The 20,808-nt window shown below is 50.9% G+C and overlaps 1 protein-coding gene across 3 annotated transcripts in view, besides 3 other annotated features; it reads right to left on the bottom strand.

Annotated features, from left to right (window-relative positions):
- CAPN2 (calpain 2) overlaps positions 1-20,808 on the bottom strand; it is a 74,422-nt gene that overhangs the window by 13,878 nt on the left and 39,736 nt on the right. For 2 of the 3 annotated variants that reach the window (NM_001146068.2, NM_001748.5), the window contains exons 3-13: positions 17,923-18,041; positions 16,702-16,835; positions 14,976-15,144; positions 13,019-13,102; positions 11,166-11,251; positions 10,070-10,144; positions 9,185-9,345; positions 6,492-6,661; positions 4,761-4,772; positions 2,660-2,871; positions 524-560 (exon numbers count right to left, since the gene is read on the bottom strand). In NM_001146068.2, the coding sequence (NP_001139540.1) occupies positions 524-560; positions 2,660-2,871; positions 4,761-4,772; positions 6,492-6,661; positions 9,185-9,345; positions 10,070-10,144; positions 11,166-11,251; positions 13,019-13,102; positions 14,976-15,144; positions 16,702-16,835; positions 17,923-18,041 (1,259 nt within the window). Of the gene's footprint in view, positions 1-523; positions 561-2,659; positions 2,872-3,809; positions 4,437-4,760; positions 4,773-6,491; positions 6,662-9,184; positions 9,346-10,069; positions 10,145-11,165; positions 11,252-13,018; positions 13,103-14,975; positions 15,145-16,701; positions 16,836-17,922; positions 18,042-20,808 lie in introns of those variants that run through there. The other variant, XM_047431344.1, reaches the window with a different exon arrangement.
- Positions 8,697-9,896: an enhancer, noted in NCBI's record as "MED14-independent group 3 enhancer chr1:223939947-223941146 (GRCh37/hg19 assembly coordinates)". NCBI's record gives its function as "activates an origin of replication core promoter dependent on BRD2, BRD4, P300/CBP and CDK7 cofactors, and independent of MED14, by STARR-seq in HCT116 cells {active_cell/tissue: HCT116}" and the evidence as "EXISTENCE:reporter gene assay evidence [ECO:0000049][PMID:35650434]".
- Positions 10,600-10,894: a silencer, noted in NCBI's record as "tiled region #3187; K562 Repressive non-DNase unmatched - State 17:Gen3'". NCBI's record gives its function as "represses a minimal TATA promoter and a strong SV40 promoter by Sharpr-MPRA in K562 cells {active_cell/tissue: K562}" and the evidence as "EXISTENCE:reporter gene assay evidence [ECO:0000049][PMID:27701403]".
- Positions 13,740-14,034: a silencer, noted in NCBI's record as "tiled region #14236; K562 Repressive non-DNase unmatched - State 17:Gen3'". NCBI's record gives its function as "represses a minimal TATA promoter and a strong SV40 promoter by Sharpr-MPRA in K562 cells {active_cell/tissue: K562}" and the evidence as "EXISTENCE:reporter gene assay evidence [ECO:0000049][PMID:27701403]".

The following is a 20,808-nucleotide window of genomic DNA, read 5'->3' as shown; positions in this document are numbered from 1 at the left end:
GACACCAAGTGTCTGCCCGCCCTTCCATGGCAGCCACCTCCCACTCCCCTTCTCTACCCCTCCCTGGGGCCCAAATTCTACGGTGATTTGGGTTAAGATCAGGTATAGTGTGAAGAATTAATATAAGGTTTTTTTTTTCTAATTAAAACACAAGAAGGAATGTAAATTATGTGGGAAGGAGTAATATTCTAATTTCTCACAGAGGTATCTTCTCTAGCATCCAATTAAAATGGCCTTTTAGGATCTATTCTAGTGGGGACTCAGAAGAATAAAGACTAGCTGGAATGTTGTGGATGGATTTTGACAGTGGCTAGCACAGCCCAATAGGCAAGGGACTGGCCCATGCCCCCAGCACAGAGGCCAGAGCTGATGCAGGTAGTCGACTCTTGGATTCCCAGTACCCGGCTTTATCCTTAGTTTCAGGCTTTGTTCGTGAAGTCCAAAAACTCTTGGAGTTTTTTTGCTCCTCTGCTCTCTGGATTGTCCAGGACAGAGTGGGTGAAATTCAAAGAGTTACAAATACCTCTTCAAGATTGGCCTCGATTTCATCATCGACAGCTCTGGAAATAGAAGGAAATTATGTGTTACTGGAAGGCAGGCGAGGGCAAAAAGGAAGGAAATCACTGCTAAAATGGAAGTGCAGTGCTAAATCCAGCAGGGGGTAGGTGGGGTGGGGCAGGGCTGCGGTGGGGGGAGGTCTTTGTATTCCAAGTTTCTGTGATAACACCTCCCCTAAAAAGCAAAAATTTTTCTGCATTCCAAGTTTCTGTGATAACATTTCTCTGCATTCCAAGTTTCTGTGATAACACATCCCCTAAACAGCAAAAATAAAGGCAGAAGTGATCTGAAGGAAGGGTCATGACCAAAGCAACGTGGGCAGCTGGAGATTTTTGTTTGCTAGTTTTTGATCTTTATCAAATAGGATAGCCTTCGCGTGTAGCGTGGTGTTCGTCCTAGCCTTAAGGAATAGCTTCTAAGTTCCACTTGAAATATCCTTTGCCAACATAGACTTTCACACTGAGAATCATGCAGTGCAAATCATCGCCTACTTGTTCTGCCTCAGGTTGGAGAGGTGGGCAGTGCAGAGGCCTGTGTGTCATTTCAGCCAAAGCTCAGGTCAGGCAGTGGTTAGTTTATACTGTGCACCGCCCCTGTGTCCAGGGCCAGGTCCTTCTGCTCCATAGTGAGGGTAATCAAGCTCAGGAGGTTCTTCCTTGGGCCACTGTGATTTTAACTAAGTGACCAAGAGTCCTATCAGCAGGGCCAATGCCTGGCAGAAGGAAAAGGGGACCTCTTGGTGCTGATCATTGGAATCTGGAGCAGAAGGATTAATATTTTGGGACAAGGAAGTCAGAAACCTTTGAGAGGTGGGGTGTCCTCTTGGGGTAGGGAGCTCACCCTAGAGAGAGTTGAGGGGTTGAGGCTTCCCTGGGAGAGTGACTTGTGGCTGGCAGGGAGAGTAATGAGTTTGACAAAGGACACTGTTATTCTAATGCCACCAGGTCATGCTCCTATTTTCTTGTCAGTGAGGACTAAACTGAACACACCAGTCTTCCTCTAAGCATCCTCAGAGCTGAGAGGAAAGGTCCCTTCCCCCATGGTAGGCTTTAGCAAATGAAGACAGCCTGTCAGTGGCAGGGGGGCTACAGCCGTGCTATGGTGGCATTCATTGGTATGCAGCTGCCTGGCATTGCTTTGTCTCCCTTCGCCATGGGAAATTATTTCTGCATCATGCATTATCTTGGGGCAAGGGCAGTTCCCTGCCTCTACCTCCCATTGGCTCTTCCTCTACAGGAACCAGCAGGCCAGGTGGCTGACCCAAGCCCAGCACCTCAGACACACTCCACAAGATCTTTAGACCTCAGCACATGACCCAGAGTCCAAGGGGTCATCTCACACCCTGGTCCTCCAACACATCCTTGGCTCCTGTTCTTCCTAGCCTGACCCCCTACCTCCCATCAGTTCTGGAGTCTCCAATGGCCTTTCGATGAATTCCCTTTAGCTTAAATCACCCAGGGTAGATTCTGCCTTTGCCAATCAAGTGCCCAGCTGAACATACATGGTTGAGGCAGAAGTCAAAGTGGCAGAAGCCATTGTGAATTGAGGCCACCTGGACAGTGGCAGGAAATGGTGATGTCAGCCACAAAGGGTTCCCAAACGTGGGATCCCATGAGGAAGGGGAGAGAGAGCTGGTGACATGACAACTATAATAGGGAGAGGTTCTGGAGGTGGGAACCGTTGAGATGGTTCCCACCTTACACCCTTGGTGGCTCTGCTAGGCCAGGTGGCCTGGAAAATCAAGGATTACACCAGCACTGCTCAGCTTTCTTCAAATGACGAGACTGGATTCGTAGTTTAACATTAAAGTACCAACTTGAGAATTCAGAGACACGCTTATGAAATTAGACCCTGCAATTCACTGTACAGCCACCCCTTTCCAACCAAAAATATCCACAGTGGCTTTTTCCATTGTTTACCTTACTATAACACTAGAACTTCCTCAATCCATCAAATCCCCACACTAGTCCTTCGAGGTGGGCAGGTGTTACAGAAAAAGTAACTGACATTCAGAGGATGAAAGAGCCCTCTAGGGGCCGAGGAACAGACCAGTGGGGAGGGACAGGGAAGGGTGGGGAGAGGAAGGGACCAAACCGCCTACTGGTAGTCAGCTTTCTTTTCAGAAAAGACCCGGATGCAGAAATCCCCATCCTTGTTGGGTTCGAAGGTGGAAGGCACGAGAATGTACTCTCCTGGCGGCAGCTTGAAGCGGTTGAGCACCTCCCGGAGGTTGATGAAGGTGTCTGAGCGCTCCCTGGCGCGATTCGTCAGGAAGAAGTTTTTGCTGAGGTGGATGTTGGTCTGCCCACTTAACTGAGGAATAAATAGAGAAACATGGGGGTAGATGAGGGGAAGCCTCCAGGCAAGTATCATTTTCATTCACTGAGATAAAAGCAGTTGGGTAGTGTGGTGGCTCAGTCCTGCTGTCCTGGTGTATAAGGAGGCGAGGCCAGGCGTCAGAAACCAGCCTGGGCAACACAGGAAGCCCTCATCTATATAACGACGACAACAACAACAAAACAACAAAATTTTTTTAAAAAAATAGCAGTACAGTGACAATGCCTGGGTCATTTTAGATAAAAAGCAAACTTTTGTTAGGTGTGGTGGCTCACGCCTGTAATACCAGCACTTTGGGAGGCTGTGAGAGGATTGCTCGAGGCCAGGAGTTTGAGACCAGCCTGGGCAATGTAGTGAGACCCCTGTCTCTGCAAAAAATAAAAATATTAGCCAGGGGTGGCGGCAAGCGCCTGTAGTCTCAGCTACTCAGGAGGCTGAGGTAGGAGGCTCACGTGAGTCTGAGAGTTCAAGGACGGCAGTGAGCTATGATCACACCACTGTACTCTAGCCTGGGTGACAGAATGAGACCTTGTCTTAAAAAAAAAAAAAACAAAAAGCAAACTTTCTACCAAAAAACACAAATGCCTGCTGAGGAACTCGGAAGCACATGCCCACAGGGGTTTCACATCCATTCAGCTCCGCCTGCAGAGATGCCCAGTCTTTCCACAGTGTTCCCAGCCTTCCTCTAAGAGACTCTCAGGCAGGAACAGCGTCCACATGGCAGGAACCTGGCTCGGTTCTACGTGGTGTATGATGCACTATAAAAGCAAAGACAGGACTGGGGGCAGGAGAAAGACAACCCAGCTTCTAAACCAAGCATGATCCACCGGACCAAGGCTGGAGCAGCATCTAAAAGAGCCCGATGTGCTACCGGTTGCACTGCCTTGCTGTGAAAGAAATGTACTACAGGTGGGTCAAAGTGCCCCGTGTGTCTACTTTAATAATCGTGACCTTGGACCAGGCATCCCATCTGCTTCAGCAAGCGGTGACTGTGGGCCCAAATGCTCTCGCAAAATTTAAGTCATTCCACGGTAGTGCAGTGAGGTGGATGGTTGACCAGTTTTACTGAAAAATAAACTGAAATGCAGCCAGGCACGGTGGCTACACCTGTAATCCTAGCACTTTGGGAGGCTGAAGGGGGTGGATCACCTGAGGTCAGGAGTTCAAGACCAGCCTGGCCACCATGGTGAAACCCCGTCTCTACTAAAAATACAAAAATTGGCCTGGCATCCTGGTGCGTGCCTGTAGTCCCAGCTACTGGGGAGGCTGAAGCAGGAGAATCACTTGAACCCAGGAGGTAGAGGTTGCAGTGAGTCGAGATCATGCCACTGCACTTCATCCTGGGTGAAAGAGCGAGACAAAAAACAAACAAACAAACCAAAAATCAAAAAAAAAAAAAACAAAACCCTGAAATGCAGAGAGGAGCTGTAACGTGTCCAAGGTCACACAGCCTGGGAATTGGGTCCTGGTCTCCTCTGTGCTCCCGCGTTGTCTTCTAGTACAGTCTGCAGGGTTCACCTTTTCCCTGACTCAGTCTTCTCCTAAGAGTGACAAAGAACTTTGTGAAAAGCCTCCTGCAGTCTCAGGATCATGGATTTTCTGCCCAGAACCAAACCCTGTATGGGCTCTGCCAGGTCACAGGGAGGCAGCGGGTCCCACAAGGACTTTCCAGAAACCTTGCCCAGAGCTTAGACCAGTGGGATCTAGAGCCTGGGCAACTTCAGCAGGGCCCCAGGGGTGGCCAGGACTCATCCTTCATGACCACCAGCCCCTGCCCGGGCTTCACGACGCTCCCTGAGCTCCAGCAGTCTAAGCCTCTCGCTTTTTTGGTGACCTGAGCACCCCGGGACATGGGCCAGACGTACCTCCTCTGGAACCTGCAAAATAAAGGAGATGCAATTCAGATGCCGGAAAAGCAGTGTAAGAAAATGCATCACTGTGCTCTTCTCTTCCGCTGCCCCCGTTTTCTCTGTAGCATTAGCAATATCAACTAATTCAACCGAGTAACTGTTTTCCAAGGAACTCAAAGCCTCTCCAACACTGAAGAAAATCCTCTTATGTTGATAAGCCCTCACCTCCCTTCCTAACTTAGAGTATAAATCTCAGGCATGGAGATGTGAAGAGACTTGTCTAAGGTGGCAAAGCCCATATCGGCCTCCCACGCAGGGAAAGAGGGCCAGGCGGGCCCTGTTGGAGGAGGCAGCAGGCGAGGTGAAATACACCTGGGGCTAGGAGCCAGCAGTGCCGGCCTCTGTCAGCCAGGTCCAGTGGTCCGGTCTGCATTTCCTTGAGCAAGTCCCCTCTCCTCTCTGGCCTCAGTTTTCTTGTCTCAAAAATAGGACCCAGTGATCCCCAAGGTCCGTCCCAACTCTGAAAGCCCGTGGCTGCATTTCCAAGCCCATAAGCCGGTGGGAGGGAAGCTGTGTATCACAATTCCATTTGCATTGTCCTTGGATCGATTCTGTCCCAGATCCGAAGTCCTCAGCTCCTGTTTCAGAGACGGAGGGGTTTAGGCCTATGTGCATTTTTACAACTGATGGTATTTGCCCAGCTGCCTTTCTCAGGTGGGTGAGCAGGTAGAAGTCAGTGTTCCATGGGTGGCAACGTTGCCAGTGGTGAGCACAGAGCCTCCTCTCCTGACACCTCGTCTGGATTCTCCCAGGGGTGTGCTGGGAAACTGGCTCTTGGGAGAGGGTGGAAGCTCTGATTTGTACTATTTGCCACTTTCCATGGTGTAAACAGGTCCCTGCCAGGGCCATTTTTCAGGCTGCTGAAGGACCTCAGCAGACATGGGTCAGAGAAAAGAGATGGGCTTTGGGAGCCGGGAGGAGCCAGCTCCAGCCCATCAAACCGAAATGCATCCCCAGTCAGTGCCCTAAAGCCTTCCTTTCATCCCTCTCCTCGCATGGCTACCTGCAGCCCACGAAAGCTCTTTCTTGTTTTGCAGAAGGGAGTGGGGAGAGCCCAGGGGCCCAGCGTGTTGGGTGAGTTCTCAGTGCCCCAGCCCCAGCCTGAGGGCGGAGAGGAGACTGCAATGCGGCTGCCCTCTGGCTGTGGCTCAGAGTGAAAGGAAAACACGCATACAGCAGGAGTCTGTGTAGGGATCTGGGCTCCAGCCATCAGAGCCCTGGGGGGAGCATCATGACCAATGTTCCCCTGTCCCCAAGCTCTCCACCATCCAGGCCAATGACTTTGCCGAGCTCTGAGCAGCTGCACCCATGGACTCAGTCCTGCCCTCACAGTATTGCCTGATGTGGCCCAGTATATTCTGTTCTTTGAAGATGGGTAGGCTGACCAGAATGCCAGGCCTGGAGGATGTGAGAAGGGATGTGGAGGCCATTTGAGAGTGGAACTCCCTGCAGGCTGGCTGTGGGGGGCCCGTGAAGGGCTTAGAAGGCCCCACAACCCAGAGCCACTGCAGGGGCCTCCCTACGGGGGCTACTCCTGAGCCTGGCCAGGCTGGTAGTTTTGTTTTTCCTTGGCCAAGCTCCCGGTCTGGGATCCCATCCCCAGTTCTGCCTCTGGGGTCAGCTTTCCATGCAGGGGCTGAGATGAACACATGGGGAAGGGAGGGCAGGAGCCCCTGCGCTCTGCACCTCATAGATGCCAAAGCCGATGGTGTGCATGTCCTCGCCCATCTTCCTCTGCCGCCGTCGGTGCTTCTGAATGAGCCCCACCAGGAAGGTGCAGCCGCTCTCCCCATCCTCCTCGTCCTCATCCTCCTCCTCCAGCTTGATCAGGTACTGAGGGTTCATCCAGAATGTGTCTGCAGCCAGAAAGGGGCAGAGGAGCCCAGCCCTGAGCAGGAATGCATGGGGGTGGGGGGTGGCCCTGGTCTCAGGCTTGGAGGCTTCTGAGAGGGATGGAGATAAAGGGAGATGGTGGGAGGTGGTGGGAGATGGTAAGAGGTGGTGGGGGATGGTGGGAGATGGCAGAGTATGGCAGAAGATGGTGGGAGACAGCGGGAGATGTCAGAAAATGGCGGGAGATGGTGGGAGTTGGCAAGAGGCGGTGGGAGGCTGTGGGAGACAGTGGGAGATGGTGGGAGATGGCAGAGGATGGCAGAAGATGGTCAGAGACGGCAGGCGATGTTGGGAGAGGCTAGGAGGTGGGAGACACCAGGGTTGGAGTGTGGACTGCAGGCTTTGTTAGGCTGGAGACGGGTGACGGTAGCTGTGGAGAGAGGATGACCTGCACTTGTCTGAATCTAACAGGAACCTAAATTAGAAACTTTCTCTTGCAGTTCTCTCTCTGGCTCCAGGCTGGCTTGTCTTGGGGACTGGTCTGTCACTCTGGAACGCAGGGTGGTTAGAGCTGTGGCTTCCCCTCATGGTACCTTCTCTTCACTGGGCTCTGATGGGGAGCCTGGGGCGGGGCTCGGCTGGCCTGGGGGACTCCGGGATCTGCTCCCTGCACTTGCCGGTCGCCGCCCCCTCGGTGAGCCCGGAGGCCAAGAACATCCTGTGTATAATTCCAGACTCTTTCTTGTTCTGCGTCCCTTGTCCTCTCAGGCCTATTCCCTTGCCCTGCTCCTGATGTCTCTGCCCTCTTTACTTCCAAAACCTATTTATTTAAAAAATCTAAGATTCATTCATGTTTAAGGGGAATTATGCTAATTGCCTTTCCATACCTAATGGGATAAAACCCTAACTGTGAAATTACAGGCACCATCTTGTGTAGGGGTTGGCAGCTATGGCTCCGAAGGCCGCTGCCTGTTTTTGTAAATAACGTTTTATTGGAACGTAGCCACGGCCATTCGCTTAAGTATGGCTGCCTTTGGGTTATAGCAATAGAGTTGTTGTTATAGAGACTGAGTGGCCCACAAAGCCAAAATTATTTACTATCTGACCCTTTAGAGGGAGTTTTCCGACTCCTGATCTAGTGGGTAGGAGGGGTCCCTTGTGGGGGGCAGAGGGCCTTCCCAGCGCCTCTGGGACTGCCACTTGGTGGCTGCATACTTGAGGTGAAGGAGTCCGAGCCCCAGAACTGTAGGCCAGCTAGCCGCAGTCTGACTACTTGCTCTGTGGCCCTGGTATGCGACTTAGAGGCTCAGCTTCCTCATCTGTCACAGAGAATCACTATGTGACCATGATCTGCTGCCACTGTACTTACACAGTGACTCCTCAGTCAGGGGGCCTGGGTTCAAATCCCAGCACGCTCTGTGGCCTTCAGCAAGTCACTAGCCTCTCCAAGCCTCAGTTTCCTCATCTTAGAGATGGAGGTGATAAGAAAGTGCCTGCCTCAGAAGTTTGTTGGGAAGGTTAGATAGAATGTTATGCAGGCTGAATATCCCTTATCTGAAATTCCTGGGGCCAGAAGTGTTTCCTATTTTGGATTTTTTTGGATTTTGGAATATTTGTATATACATAACATATCTTAGGGATGGAACTCAAGTCTAATGACAAAACTCATTTCTGTTTCATATATAATTTATACACATAGGCTGAAGGTAATTCTATAGCATATTTAAAATAATTTTGTGCATGAAACAAAGTTTTGACTGTGTTTTGACTGCGACCTGTCACCTGAGGTCAAGTGTCGAATTTTCCACCTGTGGTATCATGTTGGGGCTGAAAAAGTTTTGGATTTTGGAGCATTTCAGATTTCACATTTTCAGATTATGGATCCTCACCCTGTGTACAAAACACTTAGGATAGTTCCAAGCACTGAAGGTGTGCCCCATAATTGGCAGATGTCATCATGTTCAGACAACTGCTGACGGACTAAGCCATGAAGGCAGAAGAATCAAGGGGCTCAACAAAGGCTGGACCAGAGGAGAAATCTTCACCCCATCTGGGCAGCGCCCAGTCAACATTTGCTGATTGAAGTGAGTATGGGGCAACAAACAGGGCCTGATATGTGGAGGGCTCCCTGGGTGCCGGGACAAGGTTCCCTTGTAGGCTCGGCTGCCTGGGTGTGGGGTGCATAGAGCAGCTCATGGCCGTGAAGTGGGATTGAGCACTGCTTCCGTGAGCATGGCGGAAGGTCAGGCTGAAGGTCATGATGGGCGCTGGGGAATCTAGGGCCTGGAGAGGACATCACAGAAACAGTGGCTCTTGGGTTTGTCCTGGGTAGGGCAGGAGGTAAGGGATTGAGAAAGAGAGCTCGGGGAGAAAAGGCTCAGGGAAAAGAAAAGGCTCAGGGAGAAAGAAGACAGAGAGGGTTCCAGTGAGCAGGAGCTGCCTCCTGGGGCTGCTAGGCTGGGGTGTGGTACACAGGGTGGGGTAAGGGGAGCTTTGGCCTTTGGTGGCCCCGCATTGCAACAGCCCTTATATGCAACAGCCCTTACTCGGGTAGTTCCTGCAACCTCCCGCGGTGGAGCCCCGCCTCCAGTTCCCATCCATTTTGGTGAGTTTCCACTTCTTGTAGGTATCGCTGGTGAGAGTGTCTGGGGTCAGGTTACAGATCTCCAGGCGGGAATAGTGCCTCAGGAAGTCACTGAAAGACATCCTGGCAAAAGCAGAGACAATCATCACAGGTGATAAGAAGACACACTGGTAAGCCTTGACTTTCCACCAACACCAGACCAGGAGCCACCCAAAGCCAGGCAGAGCAGCTCATTAGAACTGAGTGGATGGGCACCAGGTTCAGAATCAGAAGGCCCAGATTCCAGTCCTGGCGCTGCAACTTTCTAGCTGGGTGACTTTGAGCAGGTTACTTAAACTTCTCTGAAGCTCAGAACTCTCACCTGCAAAAATGGGAGCCGTGCCCATCAAATGTGACAATATATGGGCCCCATTTGATAAAGAGCATGTTGTGTCCAGGTGCAGGTGGTTATAGAGTGGCGCAGACACACAGACATGTGGGTCCATTGCTGCTCACTAAGGGACCAGTTTCTTAAGGGGCTGGGATGAGTCTCCGGAACCTGGGGGAGAAAGGCCCCATCTTTCCCTTGTTTCCTGGGATCTGAACATTACCAAAGGAATTCCTCTTAGCCTTTTTCTGAAGCTGCTCAGCTTATAAACCCCATTGTCAAGATGGACCGTTGAAGGGGCTTAAGAATTTCTTTATTCAGGCTCTTATAGTGAACTTAAAATAACAAAACCAGGATCCCACACGCTTGTGTCCTCGACATGGTAAACTCACTTTGGCCGACACTCTTTCTAATTAGCAGTTTTCTAGTAAAGAACATTGGGGCAGACAGAGCTTTCCCTGAAGCCTCCACTAATCTTACCAGAATTCTCCATCTTCATGCCGTCTGGTCAGCCTTTCCCTCTCCTCTGGGTCTATAGTGTTCCAGCTTGGGCAGCTGGAAAACAAAGTAAAGAGAGAGGCGTTAGTGTACGATGATTTCTCCCCAAAGGCCCCAGAGTTGAGGAAGAGGGACATCTGCTCTCACCTCTGAGGGCTCAGGCTCCAGAAAGGGGGAAAGTAGCCCACATCTGGCTAACAGCTGCATTTTAATACTCTTACAGCACTTTAAAGAGTATAGAACACTATACAGATGCAAACCAGGGAGCAAAGTGAGCGGGTGAGTTGTGCTGGAAGACAGTGGCAAGGAAGAGTCCAGAAAATGAACATAGTTCATTAGAGGGAGATGGAGTAGCTCAGAGCAGTTGCCCAATTGAGATGGGCCTGGCAGCTCTTTTAGAGACAACTGAAGATCTGATGAGGAGCCTCCGGCTGAGGCCTGGGAAGCCTCAGCAGGTGTCTCTCTGTCCACGGAGCAGAAGGACCTGGCCCTGTACACAGGGGCAGTGCACAGGGTAAACTAACCACTGCCTGAGCTTTGGCTGGAATTACACACAGGCCTCTGTACTGCCCACCTCTCCAACCTGAGGCAGAGCAAGTAGGCTGAGGTTGCCACAGCAGATGTACAAACAAGTGTTTACCCCAAATAGTTGAGGGTTCAACATGCCTACCAGTAAGCCCTGGAAATCAACAGAGGGATGTTTCTCTGGCCTTTGGTACAAAGTTCACATCCCTGTAATAGAAGTGCCTGGGGGAAGGTGGGGTGTATTTTTTTCCCTGAAAGCCCCATAGAAGGGTGGATTTGAGCTAGGGAAGGGGTGAACCTGGAGGCAGTGGCAGGAATGAACTTCACACGAGCAGCTTGGGGCCTGGAAGAAGGCACTCAGGCTGCTGGAGGAGTGTCCTGGTTAAAAGACCCTTTGAGGGGCCCCTGTCCACGGGTCCCTGTCCACGTGGCCTGGGCTCTCCTGGCTATATTTCTCAGAATAATGCACATGTCTTCTTCTCTCGCCCTCTTCCCAGAGCCTCCCAGCACAATGCACCCCCGCCTGGGGCCCCGAGGCCTGCGCCCTCCTCACTTGTCATTCCACCGCCCTGTCCACTCCACTTCTCCCCAGGGATTTCGGATGCGGATCAGTTTCTGTAGGCTTCCGTTACTTTCAACCTGCAGGATTAGATAAAAGGGAGGAGTAAGAGGTTGAGTTCAAGTCAGGGCTATGAAGGCTTGGGCCTCCAACCCCCTTCCGCATGAGCCAGGAGGTATGGGGCTGAGGACGGTGGGGAGGATTTGGGGGTTGAGTCCATGTATGAGGGAGGATCACAAGAGCTAGAGGGGGCTTGGCACCCAGACCTCTCACTGCTGCCTAGCTTTGGAAAATGAGATTTAAAGCTCCCAGGATCCGGCTCTCGAGGATGGGGCTGTTGGTGCTTCATCTCTGAACTTCAGCTTAACTGACAGGATGCGCTTTTGGTAAAGGAGCTCAGAGAAGCTTTACCATTTGTTGAAAGATCACTGGTGATAACAGGCACATGCAGTGAGTGAATCTGGATTGAGTCCTGGATGGGGTTGGGGTGGGTCGCCAGAAAGGACATTTTGGGCAACTGGGAAAATGTTAGTATAGACTTTATAATAGATGACACTACTGAATTAATGTTATTTTCTTAGGTGTGGCAACAGTAGAGGAATTATGTAACAGAATGTCCTTATTCATAGGGAATAAATGCTGAAGTATTGAGGAGGGAAGTGTCATAACGTCTGCAACTTACTTTCATATGGCTCAAAAAAAGTGCACACATAGATAAAGCAGACATGGCAAATGTTAGCAATCGGTGAATCTAGGGGAGTGGCAATTGGATAGTTATTATGTTAGTCTTTCAACTTTTCTGTATACGTGAAAATTTTCAAATAAAAAGACGTGTGTGTGTGAGGGGGTAGTTAAAAAAATCAAGGTTAAAAAAAGAACACTGGACATGCAGAAGATCTGCGGTCTAGACTGGGTTCTGTAATTAACAGTGAACTTGAGTTGCTTGATAATTTTTTTTTTGAGACATGGTCTTACTTTGTCGCTGAGGCTGGGGTGCAATGGCATGATCATGGCTCACTACAGCCTCGACCTCCTGGGCTCAAGTGATCCTCCCACCTCAGCCTCCCGAGTAGCTGGGACGACAGTGGCATGCCACCATGCCCAGCTAACTTTTTTTTGTAGAGACAGGTTCTTGCTACGTTGCCCAGGCTGGTCTTGAACTCCTAGGCTCGAGTGATCCTCCCACCTCGGTCTCCCAAAGTGTTGGGATTTCAGGTGTGAGCCACCATGTCAGCCCATAATATTTTCAATAACAACAGTGATCACAACAGCAAGGACAGCTACCTCCTTATATATGATGTGTGAGTCACCTCTGAGCACTTTACATATATTAACTTGATTGAATCGCCACGACCTTCCAATGGATATTATCATTATTTCCATTTTTTAAATGAGGAAACTAAGGGACAGAGAGTTCCAGTAATTGGCCCAGGCCACACAGCTGGTAAGAGGCAGTCAGATTTGAACATGGGCACGAATACTTTTACGAGATCAAAAGAGAAAGCACCTTATAGAGTATAAAACACTATGAAGATGCATTGTTTTATTATTTTTAGCTTATCAAAATAGTAAGGTTGTAACTGTAAAACAGGGTAACATCTAAAACAAGTAAAACCAGGGCCCCTGGCGCCGGCCACTGCGGCCACCAGGTGGCAGCGCGGCGCACCCGGCGCCCGAGCTGCGAAAGGGACGCCCTTCTCCTCCCGCGCGGAACTTCAGGAGTGCGGGGCCCGAGTGTAAACTGGACCACCGTGGGGCCGCGCGGGCCCCTGGGCATCACCACAAACTGTGCCTGTGGCCATCGTGTCAGGACAGCAGGACCCCTGCACATCCGCGCCGGCCGTTACCTCCTCGGCTCCGGTGACCGAGTACGCGTGCCCCTTCACCAGCTTCTGAAACGTGATGGCCTCCGAGTCCGCGGCGCTGGTGATCTGCAAACACAGCAACCGTCAGACTGGCCGCACCCGCTCTCCCTTCCTCCCGGACTCCCTCGCTCCCTCTGTCCTACTGCCGGGCGGGACCGCCGGACGCACTAGCGCAGCGGCCGAGGCCTGGGGTGGGAGGCTCAGGGCTGCGCTTTCTTGCACTTGGAGAACCTTTCCTACCCCGTTCAAATGCTTGAACGCCGAGAATACCAGAGAAAAGGCGGAATGCAACCCTCTCGCGGAACGAGCACAGGCATTCCCGTGTGAATAGCGCATCCACGGATTTCTGCAGGCTGGGAAGGGCGGGAAAGGGCGCACGGCCGAGAGAGGGCTGGAGGGGGTCCTCGATGGCGCAGGGAAAGGGCGCACGGCCGAGAGAGGGCCGGAGGGGGTCCTCGATGGCGCAGGGCTGATACCCAGACAGCCTTGAGTGGCCCAGGGACACTGAGCACACCCTCGCCCCACCACCAGCCCATGCTCCGTGGTCTGGCCCAGCCCAGCTGTAGGGTTTATACTAGGACGGTTGTTTATTCCGGTCTGAGTCAGAATTTGCTTCTGTTTTAAGAACGCCTCACAGCCTCTCCTTTCCCCTATCTATTCTGATGAAGGTTGAGCCTGGGAAGAAGGGCTGGAGCAGAAAGGGTCTTCTGCCTCAACGTGTTCTGCTGATAAACTTTGAGAATTCCTGCCTAGGGAGTCTGACCTAGATTTTGGCTCCAAAAGCCAGGGCTTCTTATCTCTGTCCCCCGCAGAGACCAGAACCTGGATGGGACAGGGCTCAGAGGTTGGGCACAGCCTTTGCTCCAAGGCTCCTGGGCACAGTGCCCACCTCCCATCCCCTGGTGAGCGTTGCCAGCAAGGCTATTATGAGGAAATCTTTCCTCCTCTTCCTTCCGAAGTCTCCCACGGGCCTATTAGCTCTGCAAGAGTGCAGGGGAAGGCTGCACAGCACTGCAGATGGAGGGGAAGGTGGCAGGGGCAGCAGGTGGCAGGGGCTCCCAGGGAACCTGTGGTCAGAGGGGTGGGGGTGATTCAGAGCAGGCTAAGAGTGGGAAGTGGACTGAAGACAGAAGGGCTGGAGGCACCATCACCCCATCCATTACACCCCAGACAGCTTGACTTTTGCCTAGCAACCCTTGGCTTCCAGGTGATGAGCAATAATGGTAGACACTGGGGTGCTCAGAAACCAATACCTCTAAGAGATGGCACTTTGAAATGCTAAACTGAAGAAGCCTCAAGATCTCTCTGACCTCCCCTTTCCTTCTGTCTCTCGATCCACTCTCCCCCAAAGCACAGGAGGAAGCTATTCTCTGAAGTTCCCTCACCTGCCTAAAGTCTGGACCTGCCAAAGATGAAAACAATGACGTCTGGTCCTTTCCATGAGTTATTATGAACTGAACTCATATTGCAGGAAGAAAGACAAGTCTGTCAACATGGCTAGACAGACTTGTCACAAACCACTGTCTGCTCTGCAGGCCCAACAGACTTTATCCCAGACCATTTATGTTCTTTAAGCCCAATGAATTCCCCTAAAAATCATTTACGACATCCCTAAAATCATCCGCACCTCCCCATCTCCCTTCCCCTAAGAGGAAGGGAATATAACCCTCTGTATCCCAATGCGTGGTAGGGAAATCTCTTGTGATTCTCCCCTGTCCACATTCATACATTTGTATGCCATTTCTTGTATTAGTCTTCCTTTTGCCAGTTGATTTTCAGCGGACCTTCAGAGGGTGGAGGGAGGTTTTCCTTTGGCCCCTACGTGGACGAGGGCTGCATTACGTTGTACACAGGAGCAGTGGGTTCCCTTGGGCACTGTGGGAGCCTCCCTTCAGCAAGAGCAGATGGGGTGAGGCTAGGGAAGGCAGCCTGGACTTACGTCGATGGAGCAGCCAAGGAGAGAGCCTTTTTGCAGAGCTTTCTGGATGATCTTGAACAGGTTGGGAGGGGGCTTCTTCAACTCATACCACTCAGCAATGCCTCCGGTGAAGTCTTCGAAGCCCTCAGTGGTGGCACCCCCTGATAGCGCTTCATAGCATCCGTTGATCCTACAAGAGGGGATTAGACGCTGCCGCTACCCTTGACACTACTGATGCTATAATCTCTCAAACAGCCACCCCCTAGTACCGTCTAGATTTGATGCTCCAGGGACCCCCTGCTCACATTCTCCTTGGCCTTGTTCCCAGCTCGGGGTGCTCAGGAAGGCAAGGTATAATGTCCACAGTTACCATTTCCCTGGTATTTTGTGTTTTAAAGAAAATCTCAGGCCGGGCGCGGTAGCTCATGCCTGTAATCCCAGCACTCTGGGAGGCCGAGGTGGGCGGATCACTTGAGGTCAGGAGTTCAAGACCAGCCTGGCCAACATGGCAAAACACCATCTCTACTAAAAATACAAAAAAATTAGCTGGGCATGGTGGTGCATGCCTGTAGTCCCAGCTACTTGGGAGGCTGAGGCAAAAGAATTGCTGAAACTCAGAACGTGGAAATTGCAGTGAGCTGAGATCATGCCGCTCACTCCAGCCTGGGTGACAGAATGAGGCTCCGTATTAAAAAAAAAAAAAAAAAAAAAGATTCTCGTAGAACCTTAGAGTCGGAAGGACCTTAGTGATTTTCTGGATGAACCTCCTGTATTGATTCCTTCTACATCCTGACAAGAAAGGGGAGGTCTACTAATGGGTCGTTTGGCATTGATAGCTTAAAAAAGGACAACCATTCAATAATGGAAGCAGTTTCTCTGAGAAACAGGCACGGTGTTGGCAAGGGCTTAGTGCTCCTGACTGCTGATGCTGGAGTCCGGTGGCTTCCCTGACCCCAGTATTGAGCAGTGGGACTTAGAAGCATCCGTCAGGCTCCAGGTTCTCACAGCTGACTCCTCCTTCCTGGATTGGGACTGTAAGAAACAGAAATCCACTTGCTGCTCTAAAGTGGGGTCACTTTAATGGAAGGAGCCGGGCGGCACAGCCAACATGGGGCCATTGTGGAGAGGGGCTGGTGTGGGGCTTCTTACTGAGAGTGGGCAGCCCTGAGCACTGGACAAACTCAACTGTGGGCAACCTGGGTGGGAAGCAGCTGTGCGGAGATGGGGAAGCCATTGCTAATCAGTGACATCATCTATTCTGGGCAAGTTTCCTACCTCTGCAATGAATAGTTCTGCCCATTGGCAAAAATTCTGCTTTTTTAAGTTGATACAAATGTGTCCTGTCAAGGAAGTAGAGCTCCTTCTCAAGTCCAGCACAATCAGTACCATAACTTGTTCCTGTGCATTTGGTTAAAGATGGTGATAGACATCATTTATCAGCGTACAGTGCAGCCAGGCACCCTGCATGCACTATCTCCTTGCATTTAGAGCCTAATTTTGGCCAAAGAAGTCCTTCTATAGAAAAGGACTTCCCACTCAAAGTAGTCCTGGAGTAGTTCTACTGATTTTTATATTTTTAGTAGAGACGGGGTTTCATCATGTTGGCCAGGCTGGTCTCGAACTCCTGACCTCAAATGATCCACCCACCTCGGCCTCCCAAAGTGCTGAGATTACAGGCATGAGTGAATTTTTTGGAATCCAGGGCATTGGGGGAAGGCCATGGGGCCAGGGGAGGATGGCAACTTACTTGGCGTATGCCTTCTCCAGCAGGGCGCTCCAGAACTCGCTCCCTTCGGCTGAATGCACAAAGAGCAGCTCCCCGTCCTTGGTGGGCAGCCTGTCATCCACCACCACCTCCACCCACTCGCCGTATTGCCAGAACTGCAGAACAAGAGAGGTGGGCTGCAGGAGGAGCTGGTGGCAGCACTGGGACTCTGAGCCTCAGCTGCCTCTGGCTCCCCTTGCCCTGATCCCCTGGGATAGGTTCCATGAGCGCATCCTGGGAGGAGGTGCTCCCTTAACTCTCCTATGCAGGCCAAGTCCTCACTAAAAAAGCGAAGACAGAGGCGCATGTCCATCCTTTCAAATCCACACCCGCCTCTTTAGCATTCTGCCCTGTACCTTAGGCTGTTTTTTTTTTTTTTTGAGACCAAGTCTTGCTCTGCCCAGGCTGGAGTGCAGTGGCACGATCTCGGCTCACTGCAACCTCTGCCTCCTGGATGCAAGTGATTCTCTTGCCTCAGCCTCCCGAGTAGCTGGGATTAAGGGCACGTGCCACCACACCCGGCTAATTTTTTTTGTGTTTTTAGTAGAGACGGAGTTTCAGCATGTTGCCCCAGCTGGTCTCGAACTCCTGGGCTCAAGTGATCCACCCACCTTGGCCTCCCAACCTCTGCCTCCCAGGTTAAAGTGATTCTCCTGCCTCAGCCTCCCAAGTAGCTGGGATTACAGGCCTGCACTACTACGCCCAACTGATTTTTGTACTTTTAGTAGAGATGGGGTTTCATCATGTTGGCCAGGCTGGTCTCGAACTCCTGACCTCAAATGATCTGCCCACCTCGGCCTCCCAAAGTGCTGAGATTACGGGCATGAGCTACCGTGCCCAGCCAGCTTTTTCAAGTATTATTTCTCATTTACCGGCATAAAAGGAGGAGAACTTCAACGTTTTTGTCTCAAACATCAAATAATACAGTTTTTTTTTTTAAACTTGGGAATTAGTTCCTGAACACCTTGCTCTACCTCCCTTTTACATGTCCCAAGAAACCACCCAGGGCCATCCCAGCCGGGTCTCACATCCTGGCCACGGGTAAGCCAGGAAGCTTCCTGCTCTCGCCCAATGTCCTTTGTAGAACAGTATTGGTCTTGGGAGTCTGCAAACACCAGGGACTGATGAACCCAGCCAAGCCAGAAGACTGTTCCTAGCCCCCTGGACCTGTTGAGGAACCACCTGAGCCAACCATTAAGTTACCTGGAAGTGAAAGATCCCTGCATAGTTTTCCTGGAAGCTCTGGTTTAGGGGGACGACTCGAGCCAGGATTTCTTCATTCAAGGTGAGGGAGGCAATGGCTGCCAGCAGCCAGCAGTCACCTGTGAACACAGCACAAGGAGCTCTTATCAGAGGGTCTTAGAACCAGGAGGATGTTAAAAATCTTGTCTCCACCTCCAGGGGCTTAAAGCCTAAGACAACCTGTGAATAGACAGAGTGAAGTTTCAGGCAGTCCCCCATATGAGGGTTGGGTCAGAGGGTTTGGGGGCTATTAGGTTGGTGTAAAAGTAATTGTGATTTTTGCACCAACCTAGTATTTTGAGGGAAATGCAAAGGGAGAAATGTTTTTGCTGTGTTGTGGTTGGGCAGAGATGGGAAATTTCATTCCCTGAAAGACCCAGAACTCTGGTGGCTGAACTGTGCCCTCAGAGCCCAGCCTTGCACCTGATTCGCAGCAGATGCTCCACAGTGAGAGAATGAAACCAGCGCAGCTGCAGAGGCTTCTGAGCACACAGGCTTTGAATGGGAGTTTGGGCTGGGTGTGGTGGCGTACACCTGGAGTCCCAGCTATAATACGAATACTTGGGAGGCTGCGGCAGGAGGATCCCTTGAGCCCAGGATTTCAAGGCTGCAGTGAGCCATGATTGCACCACTGCACTCCAGCCTGGGCAACAGAGGGAGACCCTCATCTCTAAATAAATAAACAAACAAATATATAAAGGGGAGTTTGAGTGAGAGAAAGAAAACGTAGTGCTAGATGGGAAGGGGACAAACGTTGCACGCCTCCTAGGAGGAAGGTCAGAGCCAGGAAAAGAGGCTCTGGCAGGGAGTACAGTCGCAGGAAGTAAGTACGGAGCAGTGCAGATGGAAAAGCCCTGAGTCAGAGGCAGAAGGCTGGACTGTCCCGAAGGGTTTCTGTGCGGAGGGGCAGAGGTCACTTCAAGGGGTAGACAAGGATGGGCACAACGAGGTGGGCAGCTGGCCAGGCAGCCTGGTCCCTCTCTGAGCCTCAGAACCCTCCCCCATGACATGGATAAGTGTGAGGCATAATGAGAGCAGGTGTGTAAGCACTCGGCACCCATTTGGTGCCAGTGCTAGGTTCTCAGCACAGCAGGCACCACAATCATTTCATGCAGTTAGAAGCAAGCTGATGCCAGCAACAGCACCCAGATGGTTTGCAGGGAGGGGTCATCTTCACCACAAAACACAAACAAAGGGGAGGGGGCCTGGGAAGAGGATGAGGAAGTTTACTCCATTCTTAAGGAATGTGCACTTTCCTACAATTTCCCATGACAATAATGGGAAGTAGCCTCAAAGGAGTTTAATTCACTGTTGGATTTATTTTCGCCAATTGACAGGTTTATTAAAAATGTTACTGAAGACTAGGCGCAGCGGCTCACGCCTGTAATCCCAACACTTTGGGAGGCCAAGGTCAGTGGGTTGTTTGAGCACAGGAGCTCGACACTGGCCTCGGCAACATGGTAAAACTTTGTCTCGACAAAAAAATACAAAAATTTGCCAGGTGTGGTGGTAGACACCTGTAGTCCCAGCTACTTGGGAGGCTGAGGTGGGAGGACTATTTGAGCTCAGGAGGTGGAGGCTGCAGTGAGATGTGATCATGCCACTGCACTCAGCCTGGGTGACAGAAGAGCAAGACCCTGTCTCAAAAAAAAAAAAAAAAATATATATATATATATATATACACACATATATATAAAATATGTAATATATGTAATATTGTTATATATATCAGTAACATATATATATGTTATTGAAGTTCACTGAATTCTTTGGTTTTGTTTTGTTTTTTGAGACAGTCTCGCTCTTGTCACCCAGGCTGGAGTGCAATGGTGTCATCTTGGCTCACTGCAACCTCTGCCTCCTGGGTTCAAGTGATTCTCCTGCCTCAGCCTCCCAAGTAGATGGGATTATAGGCACCTGCCACCATGCTTGGCTAATTTTTTGTATTTTCAGTAGAGACAGGGTTTCCCCATGTTGGCCAGGCTGATCTTTAACTCCTGACCTCAGGTGATCGCCTGCCTCAGACTCCCAAAGTGCTGGTATTACAGGCGTGAGCCAGCAGGACCAGCTGAAGCTCACTGAATTCTTTGAATTCTAGTCGATGACTTAGCATCCTGAGAGTTCCTGACCTAGCTTGTCCTGTTAGCACTTAGACATGGTTGCTTACAGCTCTTTGAGGCCTATATACGCTAATGACAGATCTATGGTAAGCGGAGACACATCCCCTGAGTCAGTCAGTTGGTAGCCTTGTAGCTCACGCCTGCAATCCCAGCTACTTGGGAGGCTGAGGCAGGAGAACTGCTTAAACCCAGGAGATGGAGTCTGCAGTGAGCCAAGATCACGCCACTGCACTCCAGCCTGGGCAACAGAGTGAGACTCTGTGCCCCCCAAAAAGAAAAGAAAAGAAAAGAAAAAGATAAAAGAGGCCAGGCATGGTGGCTCATGCCTCTTAATCCCAGCACTTTGGGAGGCCAAGGCGGGCAGATAGCCTGAGGTCAGGAGTTTGAGACCAGCCTGGCCAACATGGTGAAATCCCGTCTCTATTAAAAATACAAAAATTAGCTGGGCATAGTGGCATGCGCCTATAATCCCAGCTATTCGGTAGGCTGAGGCAGGAGAATCGCTTGAATCCAGGAAGCGGAGGTTGCAGTGAGCCGAGATTGTGCCATTGCATTCCAGCCTGGGCAACAAGAATGAGACTCCCTCTCAAATATATATATATATATATATATATATATACACATTATATATATATATACATTTTACAGCCAAAGATTCAAAAAGTTTTTCATCAGTTTTCCAAATTCTGGAGTTGAAGGAGATGTAGAGGCCACTAAAGAATGTCTT

The sequence above is a fragment of the Homo sapiens genome, chromosome 1 (assembly GCF_000001405.40).
Source record: "Homo sapiens chromosome 1, GRCh38.p14 Primary Assembly".
Taxonomy (NCBI): domain Eukaryota; kingdom Metazoa; phylum Chordata; class Mammalia; order Primates; family Hominidae; genus Homo; species Homo sapiens.
Note: the sequence above shows the minus strand (reverse complement) of the source record. Positions and strands in the feature narration are given on the sequence as shown.